We start from the raw sequence: 20488 nt of genomic DNA, 5'->3' as shown, positions 1-20488 counted from the left end.
GGGGATTTGTGAATGCTTTTGATGTTCTTGATAATCTCCTATGTATTCTGAATTTTCAATAATAAATATAATTTTTGTTCTAATCAGAAAAAAAAAAAGTCTAAAAGAAATAAAAGTGAACAGATACCAACCAAGCAAGCAAATAACTAATTATCCACCGAACCCTGCAAAAGTCCAGGAAACTAGAGGAAGGGTAAGCTGGGGTGGCATCCTTGTCCATGTCTAAGTCTTTTTTTTCCTCTCTAATCCTGACCACTTCTTCCCAAATTCTAACGCTCTGCAGAAAGGCTGCCTTCTCTACATCCGGACCTCCACGGGCCATGCCACTACAAAATGCAAGCCAATGATCACCCACAGACCCAGGAGTTCCAACAGAGATGTTGTCTGCACCCTCCCCAGGAGCTAGGACAGCCATGTGACATCCACTCAGGATTCCTAAGTGACAGAGACTGATTTTGTGAGAGGTTCCTCCGTGAGGGGCCTTGGGAGGTTTAATTGACTTTAAACAGACTAATAGAAGAGCAATTAATAAAATGAGACTAGGGTATCATTGCTGCATAATTTATTTGTATATACAGAAACATTGGAAACCACCAGGTCACAATTAATCTCTGCCTCAAGGCTGTGAGACATCCTTAACAGGATAATTATATATTATATATACACAAATGTACATACACACACAATCTATAGATATGCATGGGATGGTTCCTTTAATGTGTCAACTTGACTGGGCCTGAGGGTGCCCACACATTTGGTGAAACATTATTTTGGGTGCCCATGAGGGAGTTTCTGGATGAGACTGACATTTGAATCAATAGGCTGGGTAAAGCAGATGGCCTTCCCTAGCATGAGTGGGCCTCATCCAATCCATTGAGGGACTGAATAGAGCAGGAAGACGGAATAAGAAAGAATTCTCTCTATCTGTCTTCGAGCTGAATCATCAGTCTTCTGCAGACTCAGACTGAAATTTACACCATTAGCTCTCCTGTTTCTCAGGCCTTCAAACTCGCACTAGAACTACACCATTGGCTCTCTCAGGTCTTCAGCTTGCTGACTGCTGGGACTTTTTAGACTCCACAACACATAGGCCAATTCCTTCTAATACATCTAGATAGACAGATAGACAGACAATGGATGAATGGATGAAAATGATAGAGAGAGAGAGACATACATACATGCATACATACATGGATGGATGAATGGATAGATGATAGATACGATAATGGATGGATAGATGAACAGAGGTGGATGGATGGATGGATTGGTAGATAGATAAATAGATGAATAGATAGGCAATAGATAAATCTCTATATCCTATTGATGGTGTTCCTCTGGAGAACCCAGACAAATATAATATGTATATATATGCATACATTATCTCTATCTATATCTTCTCCCCATATATCTATGTATCTATATTTATATAGATGTGCATATATATAGAGAGAAACACAGTAAAAGAAACCTGTAACAATAATGGCATAAACTTGGTTATGAGTCCCTACTCTACTGCTTCATTTTTGGTCCATTTTTACAACTTAGAAGCCAAATGCTTGCTTTTCAAAGACACATTTAAGATTCTTTTGCAATGATAATGGTATTTGTCAGTGTTCTTGGAGTTCATCACCTTTGCAACCTCCCTAATCTAAAATAGCACTGCCCTTCTCTGAGATGCAAGGTAAAATTTACAACCCTATGATCTCTCTAGAAACAAGACTTAGGTTCTCCCCATGGTTGCCTTCTCTACTACTGGTTTGATGCATGGAAACCTAGACTTCCAAATTCTCTTGAAAACCAAAGAGCTGACAGTCACGCACATGCCCATGTCATCATAATGAGCAGGGCTGTGCAGATCATCCTCTGCAGGCAGGGCAGGAGCACTTTAGGTTGCTACAGTCCCCGCCCCTCCCCAGTGTCTCTGCACCCCAAAGCTGAGTCGAGCTACTATTTCTCACCAAGACTGGTTGAAGACCGCCTGGCCCCAGGGGCATCTGCACTCTCCAGCCTTGCTCTATCCAGCTCACATCCAACCAGGATCTTTGGAGAAATCTTTCTTCAACACCTTGTCCTCCAACCCTTCTGCGCACATGACCTAGCCCAACTAGAGAGAAAGTTCCTTGACAGTAGGATAGTAATTATAGCCAAAGCAGGGAGAGTTGACATGTCCTGAGTCCATGTGGTGAGCTAAGCATTTCTACACTGACTGTACTTGATCCTACCAACCATCCAAGGTTAAGAATCTTTCCCAATATTGCTCAGCTGCTGACGGGCTGACCCAGGGTCTGAGACAAGTAGGTCTGAATCCAGATCACAGCTCATCAACCCATCTGCTATGCTCTACTGTCCTGTTGCACACCTCACAGCCTCAACCCCAGCATGCACAGGATGAAGTGTGCCTGTTTTTTGCTATTCCATAGAGCTCTCTCTTACAATGCCAGAATTGGAACTAGGAAAGCCTCTGTCGGCCTAGGGGCATCATGGCCAGGTTTGCGAGTTTTTTTCCTGCATTATCACGGAGAACATGGAAGAGGAAAGAGAACAGGTTTCAAAAATTTATATCCCAGCACAGTACATCTCTTCCAAGAGTCTAAGAGAAAAGAAATGAAGGTAGTAAAATGGAAAGTCAGATAAGGGGAATTAACAACTGCTACTGCCTTCCATTCATGTGCATCCATCCCCCTTCTCCCCTCCTCCCTCAGCAGTACCCAAGGTTGGCATCAGGATGGGAACTGAAGCTCAGAGAGAGGGATTAACTTGCCCAAAGCCACACAGCTAGTAAGTTATAGAACTGGGACTCAATACCAATAATCTTTGTGCCTGCCTCCCAAAACACTCCTCAAAGTCAGCTTTATGAATATTCTCTTTCAATCGGCCAGCCCAGAAGAGGTCCAAGGTAGGAACGTGGGGAGAAGATGAGAGAGTCAAGTTGGCTGGAGGTCACACCATGCTTGTCCCCTCTTGGAACTTTGTGTGGTCAGTACAGCCTTCCCCTGACTGTAACCAGAGCATTGCTGTGAGGTCCTCTTGGCCAAGAGAAAAGAACAGACAGGTGGGAAATGCTCATCCTGCAGGTGCTCCTTTCTCCAGGAGCTAATGTCAGCAAATTGGGGGCTGTGCAGATAATTCCCCCCTCAAATACTATGTCTTTGTTTCCTCTTCAAATGACTGTCCTTCCAAATACCTGTCCTTCCACCACTGTCCTTCCAGCTGCCTGGATTTCTACCCACTCATCCATCCATCCACAGACCCACCCACCCACCTACCCACTCATATATCTACCTAGCCATCATCAACCCATACATCCGTCTACCCATCCATCCATCCATCCATCCATCCATCCATCCATCCATCTATCCATCTCCATTTATCCATCTGTCCATCCACCCCACCCATCCACCCACCCACCTATCCACTGGTATGTCTACCTAGCCGTCATCCATCAATCCATTCACCCACCCATCCACCCATTCTCCAATCCATCCTCCTATCCATCTATCAATCTCCATCCATCCACCCATCCACTCACCCACCCACCCACCTATCCACTCATATATCTACCTAGCCATCATCAACCCATCCATCCATCTACCCATCCATTCGTCCATCCATCCATCTATCCATCTCCATTTATCCATCCGTCCATCTACCCATCCATCCATCCATCTATCCATCCCCATTTATCCATCCATCCATCCACCCACCCATCCCTCCACCCACCTATCCACTGGTATATCTACCTAGCCATCATCCGTCAATCCATTCACCCACCCATCCACCCATTCTCCAATCCATCCACCTATCCATCTATCAATCTCCATCCATCCATCCACTCACGCACCCACCCACCCACCTATCCACTCATATATCTACCTAGCAATCATCCATCAATCCATCCACCCATCTACCAATCAATCTATCCATCCATCCATCCATCCATCCACCCATCTACCTATCCACTCATATATCTACTTAGCCATCATCCATCATCCATTCATCCACCCACCCACCTGCCCATCCATCCATCCATCCATCCACCACCAACCCACCCATCCATCCACCCAGCACTTATGGAGACTCTACTGTGTATAAGGCATAGATAAGGGATGGATAACAAACTGGATACTGTCCCTGTCCTCACAAGGCTATGGCTTGGCCCATCCATCTAACATAGCTACAACTACTAAGAACCTAAATAGCAGTTAAATGACAGTGTTTCTAAGTACTACAAGAGCACTTTCAACATGCTAAGACAGCTTATACCAGTGAACCCCACCTGGTTGGTGGAAGGAGGGGTAGTGGTGCAGGTGTCAAGGAACTCAGGCAGCATTTAATAGTATGCACTGGGGCTAAGACCTTGGGGCCAGCAGCAAAACAGCCTGGATTCAGACCCTGGCCATGTAGTTTTCTATTCCCATACTTCCCTGAGCTTTAGTTTCCTCATGCTCAAAATGGGGATAATAATAATGGGAATCTCTTAGAGCTCTCATGAGGCTTCAGGAAGATAAAGTATGTAAAGAACTATGTGCTTGGCAGATAAAAGCAGTCCCTCAAGAAAAATGGTAGCCACCCTCATAGAACCACCACTGACCCTGTCTTCTAGCAACTTCTCAACGAGCAAAAAGAATGCAGCCACATCAACCACAATAGGGAATCAAGTTTTGCCAAAAGAATTACTCCTCCCTCCTCATTGTTTGTTGGTTTTTTTTTTTTTTTTAATGCTTTGTGTCTTTATTCTAGCATGTTGGTTGGTTAAGGATCATTTCATATTTGTTCACGTTAGGGTTGAGGGTAGGGACAGGAGTCAATGACAAGGTCATCCTATTTAAGGAGTGAATTCCCAGGAGAAATGCATCCATTATAGACATGAATTTCTATGGAGCATTTAATCTGTGGCATTTTTACCAGCTGTGAACTTGGATTTCATGTGAGCTAAGATGTTTTGGCCTGGCCAACTATGTAATCCCAAGAAAGGACAAACAGCAAGCATGGCTAGAGGTAAAACAAAGGTCACTAGAGGACACACTTACAGACTAGGCCACCTGCCCACACTGTGATTTCTTTAACCTACAGCAGAAAGGCCAGACCACAGGGCAACAGGGAAAAGGCATCTGCCAGAGACATCGCTCTAGCAGAGCTGGTCAGGAGAGCTGTGGAGAACCCTGAGGACTCAGAGGCTCCAGCTCCAGCTCCAGCAGCCCTGAGTCCTGCTTCTGAACACAGAACAGACCCCATACAGGAAACAAAGGTACTGCTCACCTTCAGACCCCATACAGGAAACAAAGCCACAAACCTGCAGAGGTGTGGCAAGCTGGGGCAGACAGCCCCACAGGGAGCCTGAGGAGCAGGTTGCTTTGGAAGCACGGCAATTTCCTTGCCTAGATCATTCTAAAATTCTCCTGGTCACCTTGGATCAGAGTCTGTGTTGGTGAGATAACAGCCTGTACCCATCGAGGGCTTTCAATAGGGCCCTTGGCAAGCAAAGTCTTCTTTGCTTATGATGTTACTGAATGTAGAAATACCTACACTGTAACACATTAACAGAATAAACAATAGCTAACTCTCAGGTAGCAACTATCTTCTAGACACTTTCTGTTTATCATCTTTGCTCTGTATTTTTCATCACTGTATTAATAATCATTGCTAATAGTACAGAAAACAGCCATCATTTATCAAGCATCAGTGAAGTATAGGAATTATGCCAGGGCCTTCATACACATCTCCATTTCTATTTACAACAACCTCAAGGTAAATATCCTGATATCCATTTGAGAGCTGGGGAAATTTAGGCTCTGAGAGGTCACATAACTTTGTCCAGAGCCTCACAGCCAGTAAGCAGAGCCCCGATCCAGACCAGGTCTTCCTGGCCATCTCCCACACCCCTTCCCCTCCCCATGCCTCCCATGGTGTGCTGACCAGGAGTGTGAGCTCAGGTGGCCACATGCTCTGTTCAAATCCAGACTATGTCCCTCATCCACCAGGACTTGAGAGAGTTCTCAGTTTCTTCACCTGTAAAATGGGGATAAATAGCACCCAGCTCCTCAGGTGGTTATGAATATTGAATGAGATAAAACCTGCAAAGCTCATAGTAGGCCCTCATTGAATCAAAGTGCTATCAAAGTCTGCTATCTGCGACCTGATCCATGCCCCCATTAAACTGTCCAAAGACTCAGGAACTGGCTTATAACCACTGGCCTCACCCAGAAACTAAAAGAAGCAAGAGAAATGACCAGAGATATTTCCAAGCAGTGACTTCTGGGAACATGTCTTTTTTAAAAAAATAAATACATAAAAGTGATGAAAATATAGACAAGCAATTTTTCGCCAGCAGATTGGCACAAGGAAGAAAGATGGGCAAGATCCAGCATTAGCTAATGTGAAGGAGCAGCAGCTTCTAACATTTTCTGTAGAAACATACATTGATCAAAGTCTCTTAGGAGGACCTCGTGGCCACTCTGGACAAACATGAAAAACACAGAAATACTTCACAGCAAGGACACTCATCACTGAGCAGCTTAAAACAGTCCCCAACTGTGTGCAGCCCGGAGACCTGCCCAGAGAGGCCACTGCACACCGAGCACCCTGCAGCCATTAATCAGGATAATATGAAGCTTTGTGTAGTCCCTGTCCCAGCAGAAAAGTGGGGGCACACCCCATGCAGACATTATGACTCCCCTCTTACGCGCCATACAAATATTTGAAAGTGACAGCAAATGTACTGCCCAAAATCCTTTATCTCTACAGCATGGGATTAAGACATCTTAACTTCCTTCTTCATGCTTGTGAATGTTTACCAAATAGTTCACACAAAAGAGTAAGTTCAATTTTTATATTTACAGATGCTTTGAATCAGCAAAAACATAATAAAAAGCAAGGAGCAGGCCGGGCACGATGGCACATGCCTGTAATCCCAGCACTTTGGGAGGCTGAGGCAGATGGATCACCTGAGGTCAGGAGTTCACGACCAGCCTGACTAACATGGTGAAACCCCGTCTCTAATAAATACAAAAAAATTAGCCGAGTGTGGTGGTGCACGCCCGTAATCCCAACTATTGGGATGCTGAGACAAAAGAATTGCTTGTACCTGGGAGGTGGAGGTTGCAGTGAGCCGAGATTGCGCCATTGCACTCCAGCCTGGGCAACAAGAGCAAAACTCTATCTCAAAAAAAAAAAAAAAGAAAGAAAGAAAGAAGGAAGGAAGGAAGGAAAGAAAGAAAGAGAAAGAAAGAAAGAAAGAAAGAAAGGAAAGAAAGAAAGAAAGAAAAAGAAAGAAAGAAAGAAAGAAAGAAAGAAAGAAAGAAAGAAAGAAAGAGAGAGAAAGAAAGAAAGAAAAAAGAACAGAAAAAGAAAATGCAAGGAGCAGCCTTCTCCCTTTCCTTTATTTCAGCCAAAGCCAGCACCCTCCACCCGGCACTCTCAGAAAGGATGCTAGAATGGAGGTGACTGGTTCTCTACTCTGAGCCGGTGTGGTGTCACTGCACTGCCCGATGTGGTTGCCATTAGCCACAGGTGGCTATTTAAATTTAAATCAATTACAGCTAAGTAAAATTTAAAAATTCCATTCTGAGGTTGCATGAGCCACATTTCGAGTGTTCAGCAACCATCTGCGGCCAGCGGCGCAATCCCGGGCGGCATGGCGCAGACCTAGACCATTTCCATCATCACAGGACGTTCTGCTGGATGGCGCTCACCTATAATGAGGCCTCTGAAAGGAGACCCGAGAAGATAAAAGCACAGGAGGCTGCCTTGAGGGCAGGGAGCAGCGATTCTTTTTCTATGAAGGGCCAGAGAGTAAACAGTTTAGACCGGGAAATTTTTCTGGGAAAATGCTCAATTCTGTTGCTGCGGTGTGAAAACAACCACAGGCATTTCATCAACAAAGGAGCAGCAGGCCAGGGTGAGGGCTTGCTCCTCCTCATTCCATGCTGTGATTAGATGACCATCACCACCGTTCACGGCCAACACTCCTAACCTGTTACTCTGTGCTGGACACCACATTAAGTGTTTTACCTGCATTTTCTCATTGAATCTTCACTGCAATGCAACCAGGTTAATACTACTAGTGTGCCCATTTTATGAAGGAGGGAACGGAGTTGGAGAGGTGATGTAACCAACCTAAGTGCAGAGGCTGGGATTCACACCCAGCTCCGCCTGATTTCAGAGGCTGCACTTGCAACCACAACACTTCGTCCCTCATGAGAATTAAAATATTGCCTTAAATATTTCCAGCCCCTAAAGCATTAAAATACTGCCTTATGTTACAAACCCTTCCAGGGCTCATAACATCTGAATCCATTATATCTATCTCCCAGGCAATAAGGTGAAGACCGAAAGCTGGGCGCTGAACAGTGACGGAGTAAGCAGAACATTAGTATTTAAACTGAGCAGAGGAATCGTGTAAAAATTAGACATTTCCCAGTAATGTTATACAGTTGAGTGGTTTGGGAGAAAATATTCTTTGGAAAAATCAAAATGATAATGAAGTTAGGAACCTATTAGTTAATCTGTTACAAAGTCTTTGGCTTTGTAAGAACCTCCTAAATAATTAATTGTGTTATCCATTAACCTCCGCCCTATTATACCACTCAAAGAACCAGAGTCCAGAGCCACAGGAGGTAATAAATTGTGGGCATGGGTGACTCATTATTAAAATTAAATATGTCATTAGCAGCTCCTGAGAATACCTTTTCCATGACTTACAGAGCCCTCCACAACACAAAAACCCAGGCAATATTAAAGTATCCAGGCAAGTGAGCTTCTATTTTCTTTTATTTCTTCTAAAAACAAAAACAAAAGAAAAGCGGGATACATATGCAGAACGTGCAGGTTTGTTACATAGGTATACATGTGCCATGGTGGCTTGCTGCACCTATTGACCTGTCCTCTAAGATCCCTCCCCTCACCCCCACCACTCAACAGGCCCTGGTGTGGGTTGTTCCCCTCTCTGTGACCATGTGTTCTCAATGTTCAACTCCCACTTATAAGTGAGAGCATGTGGTATTTGGTTTTCTGTTCCTGTGTTAGTTTGCTGAGGATGATGGCTTCCACCTTCATCCGTGTCCCCACAAAGGACATGATCTCATTCCTTTTTATGGCTGCATAGTATTCCATGGTGTATATGTACCACGTTTTCTTTATCCAATCTATCATTGATGGGCATTTGGGTTGTTTCCATGTCTTTGCTATTGTTAATAGTGCTGCAATAAACACACGTATGCATATGTCTTTATAGAATGATTTATATTTCAAAACCCTACTTTCACGAGAAAAGCCTAATCTCTAGCACACGCTGTGTCACTGGGAGTGTGACAGGTCCTCCCAGAAGCAGAGGCCATGGGTAGATGTCTCCTCTCATCTCCCCATCAACTCCCACACTCCTCTCCTTCCTGCCCCCGTGCACCCCAGGATCAAGGTGGGGGACGGAAGTGCAAAAGCAAGAGCACTGCAGGCCAGTCTTTCTCAGCACCCGGCAACCACCCTCCCGGGAAACACCATGATACTCCACTTTGAAGCAGCTTCAAGAGCTTTCAGTGAGGCAGAATCCCCAAAGAGTGATGGGAAGATCTCCCTGGGACTGGGCATGCACTTAAAGCAGGTGAGGGAGAGTGATGTGAGGGGAAGTAGGTGGGCATTTGCATTCCAGCCTGGGCACTTTCATGAGCCCTGTGATCTGGGCAAAGCCATTTCCTTCCTCTAAGTCCCTGTAATAATCAGAAATGGCAGAAGCCCAATCAAAGCTGCTGAAGCCTGAAAGGGAGGAAGTGTTTAACTGAGAAGCCCGGGGGTGCGCCAGCTTCACACACGCTGGATCCAGGGATGCAAATAATGCCATCGGGAAATCAACCTTCAAAATTGTCTTTGCTCAGCTTTCCTTTGGGCTAGTTCCATTCTCAGGCTCCAGCTGGGTTGGGGAAAATGGCCACCAGCACTCCAAGCCCACAGCCGACCAGCTCTGTGACTTCTTGTGGAGGGAAAACAACTCTTTCCAAGCGCTTCAACTGAAGTCCTAGAACAGATTCTCATTCGTGAAGCCTGAGTCATGAGCCCATCTGAGAACCAATTACCAGGGGCAGAGACTGTGCAGGATGATGGTCAATTCCACGTGGACAGAGACGGAGGAGGTGCACCTTTTCCCAGCCAGACGCAAGGGGACTGAGGAACAGGAGTGGGCTACTAGGACCTCCCCTAGCTTTGGTGCTCAACCCCAGCACATCCCAGGATGTGAGCATCTCAGGAACCTGGAGCAGTGGTAGAACACAGTCAGCACTGCCATGGCTCATCATGGCCTATGAAGGGCATGTGGTAGCATTAGACGAGAGGCCGCCAGCCACAGCCCAGATGATACAGTCCCCACACGTCCCGTACACCACAAGGTGAGGACGATAGGGAGGCAGGTTCAGAAGCAGGGACACTCCAGGTCAGTGTTTGCTCAGGCCCTGGCAACCTCTCTCCTGGGAAAGGACAGAGGCTACCACAGGCCGGGGCCAGATGCCACTCTACAGGGGCTTCTGGGAACACAGACCTCAGCTCTGAGGACCACAGGCATTCCCGTTCATACAGCCGCAGCCCCCAAGCCTCAGCCCAGTCATCCATGCCAGCCTGGGGTGATGTTTCCCAAGTCCTTTGAAAAATGAGGACAATGCAGTGAGGTGTTTTGGGGGCTGGCTCTGTGTCCTTGAAAAGACTGTCTTCTGTTGGAGTATATGGCCTTCCTGACTCTTTGGATTTGAAATTCCATTTCTTTTGGGAAATACTGGTGTTAATAGTGTTATTATTATACTGTTGTGAAACCAAGGATGTTCGGGTTTTTCTTCATTGTTGTTTTTAAACATCCCTAGTTGACCAAAATATAAAAGTTGGCAACTCCTGCCCACCCCTCCTGCCTCTGTCAAGGCCCCTGTAAACTGGACCAAGACAAAGTCCTACCTCTCTCCTCCCTCCATAGCTACCCAAAAACTGTCACTGCAAACAAACCTCCCTCCCCTGTCCCTGCAGAAAGGCAGGCACTAAGTGTTTGCTGTTGCTGGGGGCTAGGGGACAGAAGAGCGGGGCATCTGAGGAGCAGCATCCCCCAGGAGCTCATTAAAAATGCAGAGTTTCAGGCCCTACCCAAGCGTCAGAATCCACATTTTAACCAGACTCCCAGTGACATGTATGCACATAGAAGTTTCAGAGGCACCGGACCAGACTTTATCCAAGGACCTTGCCTTGATAATTATGGCAACCAAGGGCCCCTAAGATGGGCATCTGACCCTGACTTTTAGCCTCTGGGCATTCTTCCCTGAGCATGGCTTCTCTCCCAGTATGGGAGGTCTATGCCTCTTTCAGCCCTGCTCAACGCACACTTTAACTTCCATTCCACAATGACAGCTAACAGCCATGAAGCTAGCTCCACATGCCAGCATCCCTGGTGGTGGTCACTTCAACTCCAGAAACCCCACAGACCCACCCCTTCTTCATGAACGTTTTACCAAATCCCTCCAACCACCCCTGTCTACCCATCAGGTGTAACTTTCCTCCTCGAATCCCCTAGAACACCGAGAATCCTAGAGCTTCCTTGATAAGCCTAAGAACCCTCTGCCCCTGAGTCAACATTTCTCATGTCCCCCTCCCCACTTCGACAGTACAAGCTCCTTGAGGGTGGCCGGGACTGGACCCTGCCTCTGTGAAGGGACCCCCACCCAGTGGCACTTCCTCTAGATGGTGCCAGGTAACCGCCCACCCCAGTGGTACTTCCTCTAGATGGTGCTGGGTAACTGCACCACCCGGTGTCTCCCCAACTTCACTCACACGTCACCACTCTTATGGATGTTGCTCTAATAGAACCACTTGGTCTAAAATGAATATAATGTTTTCTTAAGAAAGTTTAAAATGAAAACTTGACGTCTACTTTAATGGAAATGCAATATTTTTCTAATGAAAAATTAAACAGGCTGGGAACGGTGGCTCAAGCCTGTAATCCCAGCACTTTGGGAGGCCTAGGCGGGCGGATCACCTGAGGTTAGGAGTTTAAGACCAGCCTAGCCAACAGGGTGAAACCCTGTCTCTACTAAAAATATAAAAATTAGCCAGGTGTGGTGGTGGGCACCTGTAATCCCAGCTACTCGGGAGGCTGAGGCAGGAGAATCACTTGAACCTGGGAGGCAGAGGTTGCAGTGAGCCAAGACCATACCACTGCACTCCAGCCTGGGGGACAGAGTGAGACTCCATCTCAAAAAAAAGAAAAAAGAAAAATTAAACAGACATATACCTGATATGAACGTTCTTTATAAAATTAATAGTTCATTTACCACCTAAAATCATCTCACACATTGCCAGGAAATCAGTGTCATGATTGACACTAATCAGTTGACTGGAAAGTGGCAACCACCAGGACACACTTGCCCGTGGGCTGGGCTTTAGGACCTGGCCCTATATTCATGCATTCTGCAGGAAAGTTTCTTCTTTCCTTTGGCTGCATGGAACCCCCTTGGCTGCCTAGAACCCCTGGTCTACAGCCACACCCACGGGTGTCATTTAATGCCATCACGGGGAGTTGGGTGCTTCCTTCTAGTGACTTGCCATCAGTCAGTGGGAAGACGGAAGGCCACAGTGGCTGTCTTGACAAGCACGACACTCATTCGGTGCCACCCACTGCAACTGTATTGAGGACAATTGTGAGATTAAGAGAATTTTATTTCATGAGCACTAAGCTCCAATTCCAGAGAGGCAACCGTGTTTATTCCGCTCCATTGTCTGATAAGGAGCAGAAGATGGAAGCCTCCAGATCTTCTGGGGACAGGCATGGAGCTCATACCCTGGAAGGGCAGGATGATCATGTGAAGAGAACCAGGGAGAAGGCGGCCACTCACAGCCACAGAGAGAGTCCTGGGACGGGTCCTGCCCTCACAGCCCTCAGAAGGAACCCGCCCTGCTGGCACCTTGATCTCAGACCTCCAGCCTCCAGCACTGCGAGAGAGTAGGTTTCTGCTGTGGAATCCCCCAGTCTGCAGCACATGCTAGGGCAGCCACAGGAGATGAGCTCAGCCAGAACAGCGGAGGGAGAAGGGGAAGGCTGGGCCTTCTCAGGCAGCCAGGGCCTTCCTGGGAAGAAGGGAGGTGGGGTAAAGGCTTGAGCCTCCACAGGCACCAGAGAAGCAGAGGCCTGGGGGCCAGGAGGAGGCTGCCCCTGCCACTGGAGCATGGTGGGGGCACAACGTAGAGAAAAGGAAGCAGGTGGGCATCCAGTCAGCATCCACACACGTCGCCCATGCCACTTCAGGAGCCAAGGGGCCTGGCGCCTCATTATTTAAAAGTCAAGTCTCACCTGGTTGTCGTGAAGCTATAGGTGTGATAAAATTTCATTCAATTATTCACTGAAAAAACAGCAAAAGTGCTTGCAAAACCTGGTGGAATTCGCTAAGGCCTCTGGTTTAGTTGGTTTAGTTAACCTCACTGTACCAATGTCCACCTCCTGGTGCCAACCAGTGAACCATGGAAAGGTGGATGCTGTCATTGAGGGAAGCTCTGCAACCCCCACGTGAGTCTAAAATTATTTCAAAAAAGTTTAGAAAGTGTGAACAATTGTATTAAAAACAAACAAAAAACAAGATCTAACCTCCGTGGCTCTTCCCAGCGCAGGGCTGTGGCTTCTCAGTCCTCTTCCCAGCCTTCCAGGGTCCCACAAATCCATCCTTCTCTGGCCCACCTAGTAGGTACTATGGGGAATCTTCCAGAGCACAGGCAACAGGGGAGGTCTTGAGACCAACCAGGAGTCAGGAGAATGAACTGATCCTCTCCCGTACTTTTTGTTTCTTTGTGTTTTTGTGAATTTTGTCAAACAGAACTCGGGGAGAGAACAGGGCTCGCCTCTCTCCCTGGGAGCCAGGAGCCAGAAATGCCTGCACGTGGCCCCATGCACGGCTGCACTCCGAGGGCCAAAGCCTCCATTCACGTGCAGGCTGCGGGGACAGTGCAGTGCTTGCTCTCTGTGAAATGCCCGATTTCAGCCTGCAGCCATCGCTAGCTTGCACAGCATCCCTGGCCTGCCTCAATGGCAACCCTTGTCCCCGAGAAGCACAAAGCCGCCTCTGCTCGGGAGCCAGGGCTGCAGCTGGGGGGCGTCTCCACCCCATGACTGGGCCCATTCTTCCCCAGCACACAGGCGACCCTGCCAGGGAACACGCATGGCTCGGAGCTCCCAAGTACTCTCTCCTGGCAAGTGAGGAGTGTAAATAAATCTTGGGAGGAGGACATGAGAGAGAAACACAGTCCCTGGAGGACAGCATTCTGGAGTGGCCACATGAGTTGGAAACTTCCATGCCGAAGCCTTAAGAGGTTGGTGAGTTTCCTGTCACTGAAGGCATTTGAGCAGGGACGAGAATTTTCCTGGGCAGGGATGGGCTAAGGAGGGGGCAGAAGGAAGCAAGCACTGCCTGGATAGATGGATGGATGGATGGACAGAGAGAGAGACGATAGATACACAGATTGATAGATAATGGTAGATGATCGATTAGCAGATGGATGACAGATTATAGATATATTGAAAAATAGATTATAGATATATTGATACATAAATAAAAATAGATAAATGATTGATGACTAGATGCTAGAATATACATATATTTATAGATGATAGATATATTGAGAGATAAATAAAAAAGAGAGATAAATGATAAATAGATGGATGATAGATACATACATAGATACACAGACGCTTCCTAAGCAGGAGGGCACAACTGAATCACAGATGCAGGTGGGCACCTGACCTAATCAGTGTTGTCCAGTCCCAGATATCTCTATCCAACCACACACCTCTCCCTAACTCCAGGTACAATTTCCACCTGGGGATCTGATAGGTCTCTCAAACAGAACCTGTCCACAGCTGAACAGAGCATTGATTTGCCCAACCCCCATCCTGCTCATCTCAATGGTTCCTCCCCATTGCCGCCAGAACCTCTCCATCCTTCCAGCTGCTCAGGCTGGAACGCTTGGAGTCATCCAGGACTCTTCTGTCTCATCCCAGCCATCTGATCCCTCTCACACCACATCTAGCTCTACCACCATCTTAATTGGATTCTCCTAAAAGCAGAGCTGCAGGCGGGCTTAGGTGAAGGTAGCTTATTTGGGAGGTATCTCAGGAAGCAGAAGCAAGGGAGCAATGAGAGTGAGGGAGGGAGGAAGGGCAAACCCACACACGTGCATTTCCAGGGTCACAGCTGTAGGCAGCAAGGTTGCATTCTCTGAAAGCTCCAAGAAGCACCCACCTAAAGGATGCATGCCTGGGATGTTTACTCCCATTTCGTCAGCTGAGGATTGTCCTTCAGACATTAGCTCCCCTCATGTCCTGGCTGCACTTTGATGCTTGGGAGAATATCCACAGCACTGGGCTCATGGCTGTGCTGTGCTGGAAAGTGTTTGGGTGGTATAAGGGAGCTGATATGTACATTTGCCAATTGCCATGGTGTAAATACTTCCCACTGCAGCCAGCTTGCAGCATTCCTGAAAGTGTAGCCACCTGCTCCAATACAGCGCTCATCACCCAACATGCTGGTTGATTGAAGCCACAGCTGAAGACCAAGGCAGAGCTGGTCCAAGGAATTGTGATGCAGGCACAAAGAACATCTGCTGTGAACAACCTGCTCCAAACCACCAGCATCTCTGACTAAATGACCTTCGAATCCTCCAGCACAATCTCATCTCACTCTGCAGCCATTCAAATCTTCAACGGGCAGCTCTGAAAATAAAGCCCAAGTCTTCCCCCAGGCCTCGGCACCTCCCTGGGATCCTCCCCTGGCCACCTCTTGGCATTGTGGGCATCAAAAACTTGCCCCTTTCCATCACTCACTCAGCCTCACTGGTCTCCTTGTTCCTACCACACCCAAGCACATGCCTGCTGCAGGGCCATTGCACCTGCTGTTCCTGCTGCCCTAGTGCTCTTCTCGAGGGTAGTCACATGACCAGCTCCCTCACTTTGCCTGGTCTCTGCACAGATGCCCTGCTCTGAGGTCCTCTCTGACCATCTATCACAGACAGTTGGGCTCTCCTCCCTGCCAGTCTCATTCCTCCAGCCTCACTTTATCATCACTCCAGGCATCTATAACCACCTAGAGTCCCATCATACATCTATTTCTATGCTGTCTGTTTCCCCTCATCCCACGAGACTACTCATTCCATGAAGGCAGAGACATGAGTCGTCACTGCAACCTGCCATATATAGCTATATGCATACTCAAAAAACGGTGACAGGCTTAAAACAGGTGTCCAGTAAATATTTGTTGAATGGCTGACGACCATGAATTCTGGAGGGAGAGTTCAGAATGGTTTCATTTTTAAATTCCCTGCAGAGGATTGCAAATAATATTTCTGGCTCTGAACACCTGGGTCAGACCCCCTCTAAAGTTTGGTCCAGCCCTGGTACCCCAAGATGGGCTGGCCTCTCCCCAGCACAATAGAAGCACTAAGATCTCTTGCAGCACAGAAATCTCCACGTCCCTCACCACAAACCCTGAGGTATTCGGTCACAGATACAAGCGGTGCACCCTCCAAATGCCACCCAGATCTAGAACCAGCCAGAAACGAACAGAGAAGCCTCATCTCAAAGTCAGCCCCTGCCCAGGAGCTCTCAGCCAAGAACCCCAGCGTAACAAGGGTGAGAAACAGCCCCGGGCTGTCACGCAAGACAGAGACGGTGCATGCAGAGGAAAAGCCTGCATGCCTCCGCAGGGAGGATGTGCCCACTCTGACATTGGGGTGAGAGGAGGAAAACTGGGCTCAGAGGGGGAAAGCTGGGCTCAGATGGGCAATGGGAGTTGGGCAAATCCCTAAGCAAGAGAAGAAACCAAAGGCGGCCAGGGAGACATCAGCATGTTCCTCCTGCACAGCCATGACATCCTACAAATGATATCTCTTAATTTTAACATCAGCTTTGGGAGAGGGCCATGAATAGATTTCTAAATATATTCCAGAGCAGAATTAAGTGGGATCTTCCAGTTTCTGAAAGTGACTTGCGGAGAGTGCATCAGATGGGATGAGAACATGACATCAGCCACACAGGCAGCCGTACTGGGCAGCTGCCTGCCGGGCAAACCCCGTGCCCACAGAGACCATTCTCAACCACTCCTCCCAACCACACCAGTTCCACGCACCTTCTCTAACAGGAATGGGGCCTGCCTCAGGGTCAACTGAGGCCTCTAGCTATCAGATTCCAGAGAGATCTCTGCAGACCCTGGCTCTAGGCAGAATTTACAAAGAAAACAAATGAGAATCTATTTCCATGACTCAAGATGCCCCGCAAGCAGAAGAGGAATTTAAAAAGAAGTTCTGGATTGAAGGACATTCTACAGAACACCCTACAGGTGCTCCTCAAAACTGCTAAGGTCACTAAGAACAAGCAAAGTCAGAAAAGGCGTCACAGCAAGACAGCCTGAAGGTACATGATGTCCAGATGTCATGCGGGATCTGGATGGCATCCTGGGATGGAAAAAGGGCATTAGAAAAATACTAAGGATGTTGGAATAAAGTATGAACTTGAGTTAATAATAATGTTTCAAGAGTGGTTCATTAGTGATACAAATCTACTATAAGAGTGAAAGGGAACCAGGGTGCAGGTTTACATAAAGTCTTTGTACTAGCTTCACAATTTTTCTGTAAAATTTAAATTAACATCACAAGTTTTTTTTTAAGTCTTCTTTCCATCAGACTGAGTTAGGGGGCTCCAGCAGGTCAGCTCCAGCCCCTGTAATATGTTCCTTGGGTAGGCCCAGAGAATGGTACCCGAGTTGCCAGAGACCACTCCGGTAGGGACTGAGGTGGCTGCGCTGGACCAGCCTGCACACCCGGCTGCCAGGAGGTGTCTCCTGCAGGCTACACAGGAGCAGCATGGGAGGGAGACCAGGCCAGAGATGTTTCTAGTCTCCAGAGCAGGGTGTCCTCAGATCAGCAGCATCAGCGGCACCTGAGATCTTGCTAAAAATGCATGTTCATACTGGCTTCATGGCAGATGCGTCAAGTCAGGAGCTCTGGGAAGGGACCCAGCATGCTGCATAGACAAGACCCCCGGCGAGTCTCATATACCCTAAAGCTTGAGACTCCTGCTCTAGAAGATCACCCAGGAGGACAGAGACCCCAACAGGGAGCAGGTGTGGAGCAGTCCACCAGTGGATCAGGGGCTGTAGGATGCAGCCACGGAGGGGTTGGTGCATGCTGTACTTGGCTTGAAAGATGACCTGGGGATCAAAATATCCAAACACCCATGAGAGCACCAAAAGAGGGGCAATTTTCACCAACTTCCAGGCTCACATCGAAGAAAGCCACCCTCTAGAGACACTGCCCCAGCCATTTCCCACTCTTATGTCCCCACCCTCCAAATCGAGAGGCGACACACCAGCAGCTCCCAACCACTCTCCCCCACTTCTCCTGCCAGCAGGTCCATTTCCTCTCTTGGGAAACCAAAACAGGACACCTTCTCTACACAACGCCCATGGGCACCAAAGCAGAAGTGGGGTGACCTTTCCGAGTCCCAGATCAGTGGGTCACCCTCTGCTCCATAAGTGTCAGCAGGTCTCCATCACTCCATAGGATACAGACAAAAACCCTCAACCTGGTCTTCCCTGTCCCGCGTGGCAGGCCCAAGCCACCTCCCCATCCCCACGCACCAGCCGTTCAGCCCATGCTCACACGGTGCCCCTCCCACCACATGGCCACCACATCCGCTGTTCCTCTGCCAGGGACAGTGGTCACCATCCCCACCCCACCTTCATCTGGTCCATTCCCACGTATCCTTCAAACTTCATATCTACATCCCACAGATGCAGTTTTAAGAGGGAAAAGCCAGGCACAGAACAGGGGCTAGCGTGTTTCCCTTCATATTACAAACAAACGAAGAAGAAAAGAATGCATAGAAATTTCCTGAGAGCGTACACAAGAAAGCCATCAGCAGCTGTCGTGGGACGAGAGACGGGTGCACAGCCAGAGAGACCTGGTTTTCACTAATGAAAAAGACAGTCGATGTTTGTTGAATACATACATGTAACAGGAATGTGACAGATCATATCATTTAACCCCCACAACAGCTGCATGGTGCGTACAATACTATAGTTCCCATTTTATAGATGAGGAAACTGAGGCCAAAGAGGAGAAGCAGACAGCTGGAAGGTCATAACACGGGCTGGACCAAGCCTGATCCATGCGGAGCCGACATACCTGCCCCACCCCATCCTGTCTCCAGCCGCCCTGGAATTTTTCAACATGCGCGCGTTCTACTTTTCCAGTTTTAAAAAGCCTGTTGAGTTTTTTTCAATAATGCTCCTGCCTCCCACAAAAAAACATTTATTTTCCCTTCCCTGCCTATATTTCCAAGGGGTGGGGGAGTGTTTTTGAAAGCTATACATCATACAGGAACCATGGTTCTGAGTGTTTGCTGAAGATTTGGGTTTTTTTTTTTTTTTTTTTTGGTTAAAGCTGCTGTAAAATTAGAATCCTTGTAGAAGCCCTCCTTGAAATACATTTCACAATGGGATTACATATTAGCCCAGGGGTTTTGCTCCAACAGGATAAGCCCAGACACTCTGGATAGCAGTTCACAGCTTTCAAGCAGGATGTGCATCTCCTGGTGGGTGCCAGGAATCATCAGTCCTGGCCAGAGCCGGCTCCCCCAGCAGCCCAGGACAGATGGACAGATGGGAGCTGGTGCCCGGCTCAGGTCCCGAGGCATCTCTAACCCCTGGTCTCCCTCATTCCCAGTGTGGAGCTGAAGGGTCAAGAGACACACACGGCCTCTCTGTGTGCAGCGAGGTGCCGGGGCAGTCTCTGGGCCTCCCTAGCAAACAGGGAGCACCCCTCGCAGCAGGCACACGGCAGCCTCCTCCTGAGATAGTGTCCATCGCAAACCAGGAGATGGCTGCTGTGTCAGCAGGGCCAGCACTTTCTATTCTACTAACTGACATGAACAGAGCATTTACCAGTAGGTAAATTACAGTTATGTCACTGTAATGTTAAAATCCTGCAAAGGTCACGTGCCTCATCTGGAACTCATACCCACCCCAGGAGTAGGAACTAGCATTGCCCCCAGTTTATAGAGGAGGACCTTAAAGCATGGCCTGATGAAGGGACTGACAGAGGTTGGCCAGGCACAGTCAGTACGGCTGAGGCTGAAGCCTGACCCAAAGGCCAGCTTCCAGGCACCCAGCTCCAGCTCCCTGCAGGAGGGATGCACCATGGCCTTGACCCTGAGTCCCTTTCAGCCTTTCAAAAAAATGAGGGGAAGTTATGTCACAAAAAAAAAAAAATCAGGGGAAGTACCCACACGTGCACACCTGCACACACAAACACATACTTGTACATGCACATACACACACATATATATATGCACAAACACACAGGCATACACACGCAATGACTCATTCTCCCAATGACTTTCGACAAAAATAAGCAGAAAAAGCTGTAGTGAAGGTTATTGCCTAAAAGACAGATGGCAAAGTTGACCTTAAAAGATCTGCTTGTGAGTCTC

At 47.9% G+C, this 20488-nt stretch overlaps 1 protein-coding gene and 1 long non-coding RNA gene across 10 annotated transcripts in view; one reads left to right on the top strand and one right to left on the bottom strand.

Moving 5' to 3' along the window:
• PHACTR3 (phosphatase and actin regulator 3) overlaps positions 1-20488 on the bottom strand; it is a 270203-nt gene that overhangs the window by 205298 nt on the left and 44417 nt on the right. The window contains exon 1 of one of the 9 annotated variants that reach the window (NM_001281507.2): positions 13598-13764. The exons of the other annotated variants lie outside the window; for them this stretch is intronic. The gene's annotated coding sequence lies outside the window, so the exon portion shown is untranslated. Of the gene's footprint in view, positions 1-13597; positions 13765-20488 lie in introns of those variants that run through there. 9 annotated transcript variants of the gene reach the window in all.
• PHACTR3-AS1 (PHACTR3 antisense RNA 1) lies at positions 14125-15950 on the top strand. Its single transcript, NR_040513.1, has 2 exons — positions 14125-14316; positions 15465-15950. It is a non-coding gene; the product is annotated as a PHACTR3 antisense RNA 1 (long non-coding RNA).

The sequence above is a fragment of the Homo sapiens genome, chromosome 20 (assembly GCF_000001405.40).
Source record: "Homo sapiens chromosome 20, GRCh38.p14 Primary Assembly".
Classification (NCBI taxonomy): Eukaryota; Metazoa; Chordata; class Mammalia; order Primates; family Hominidae; genus Homo; species Homo sapiens.
The sequence above is the reverse complement of the archived record's forward strand: the minus strand, read 5'-3'. Positions and strand labels throughout refer to the sequence as shown.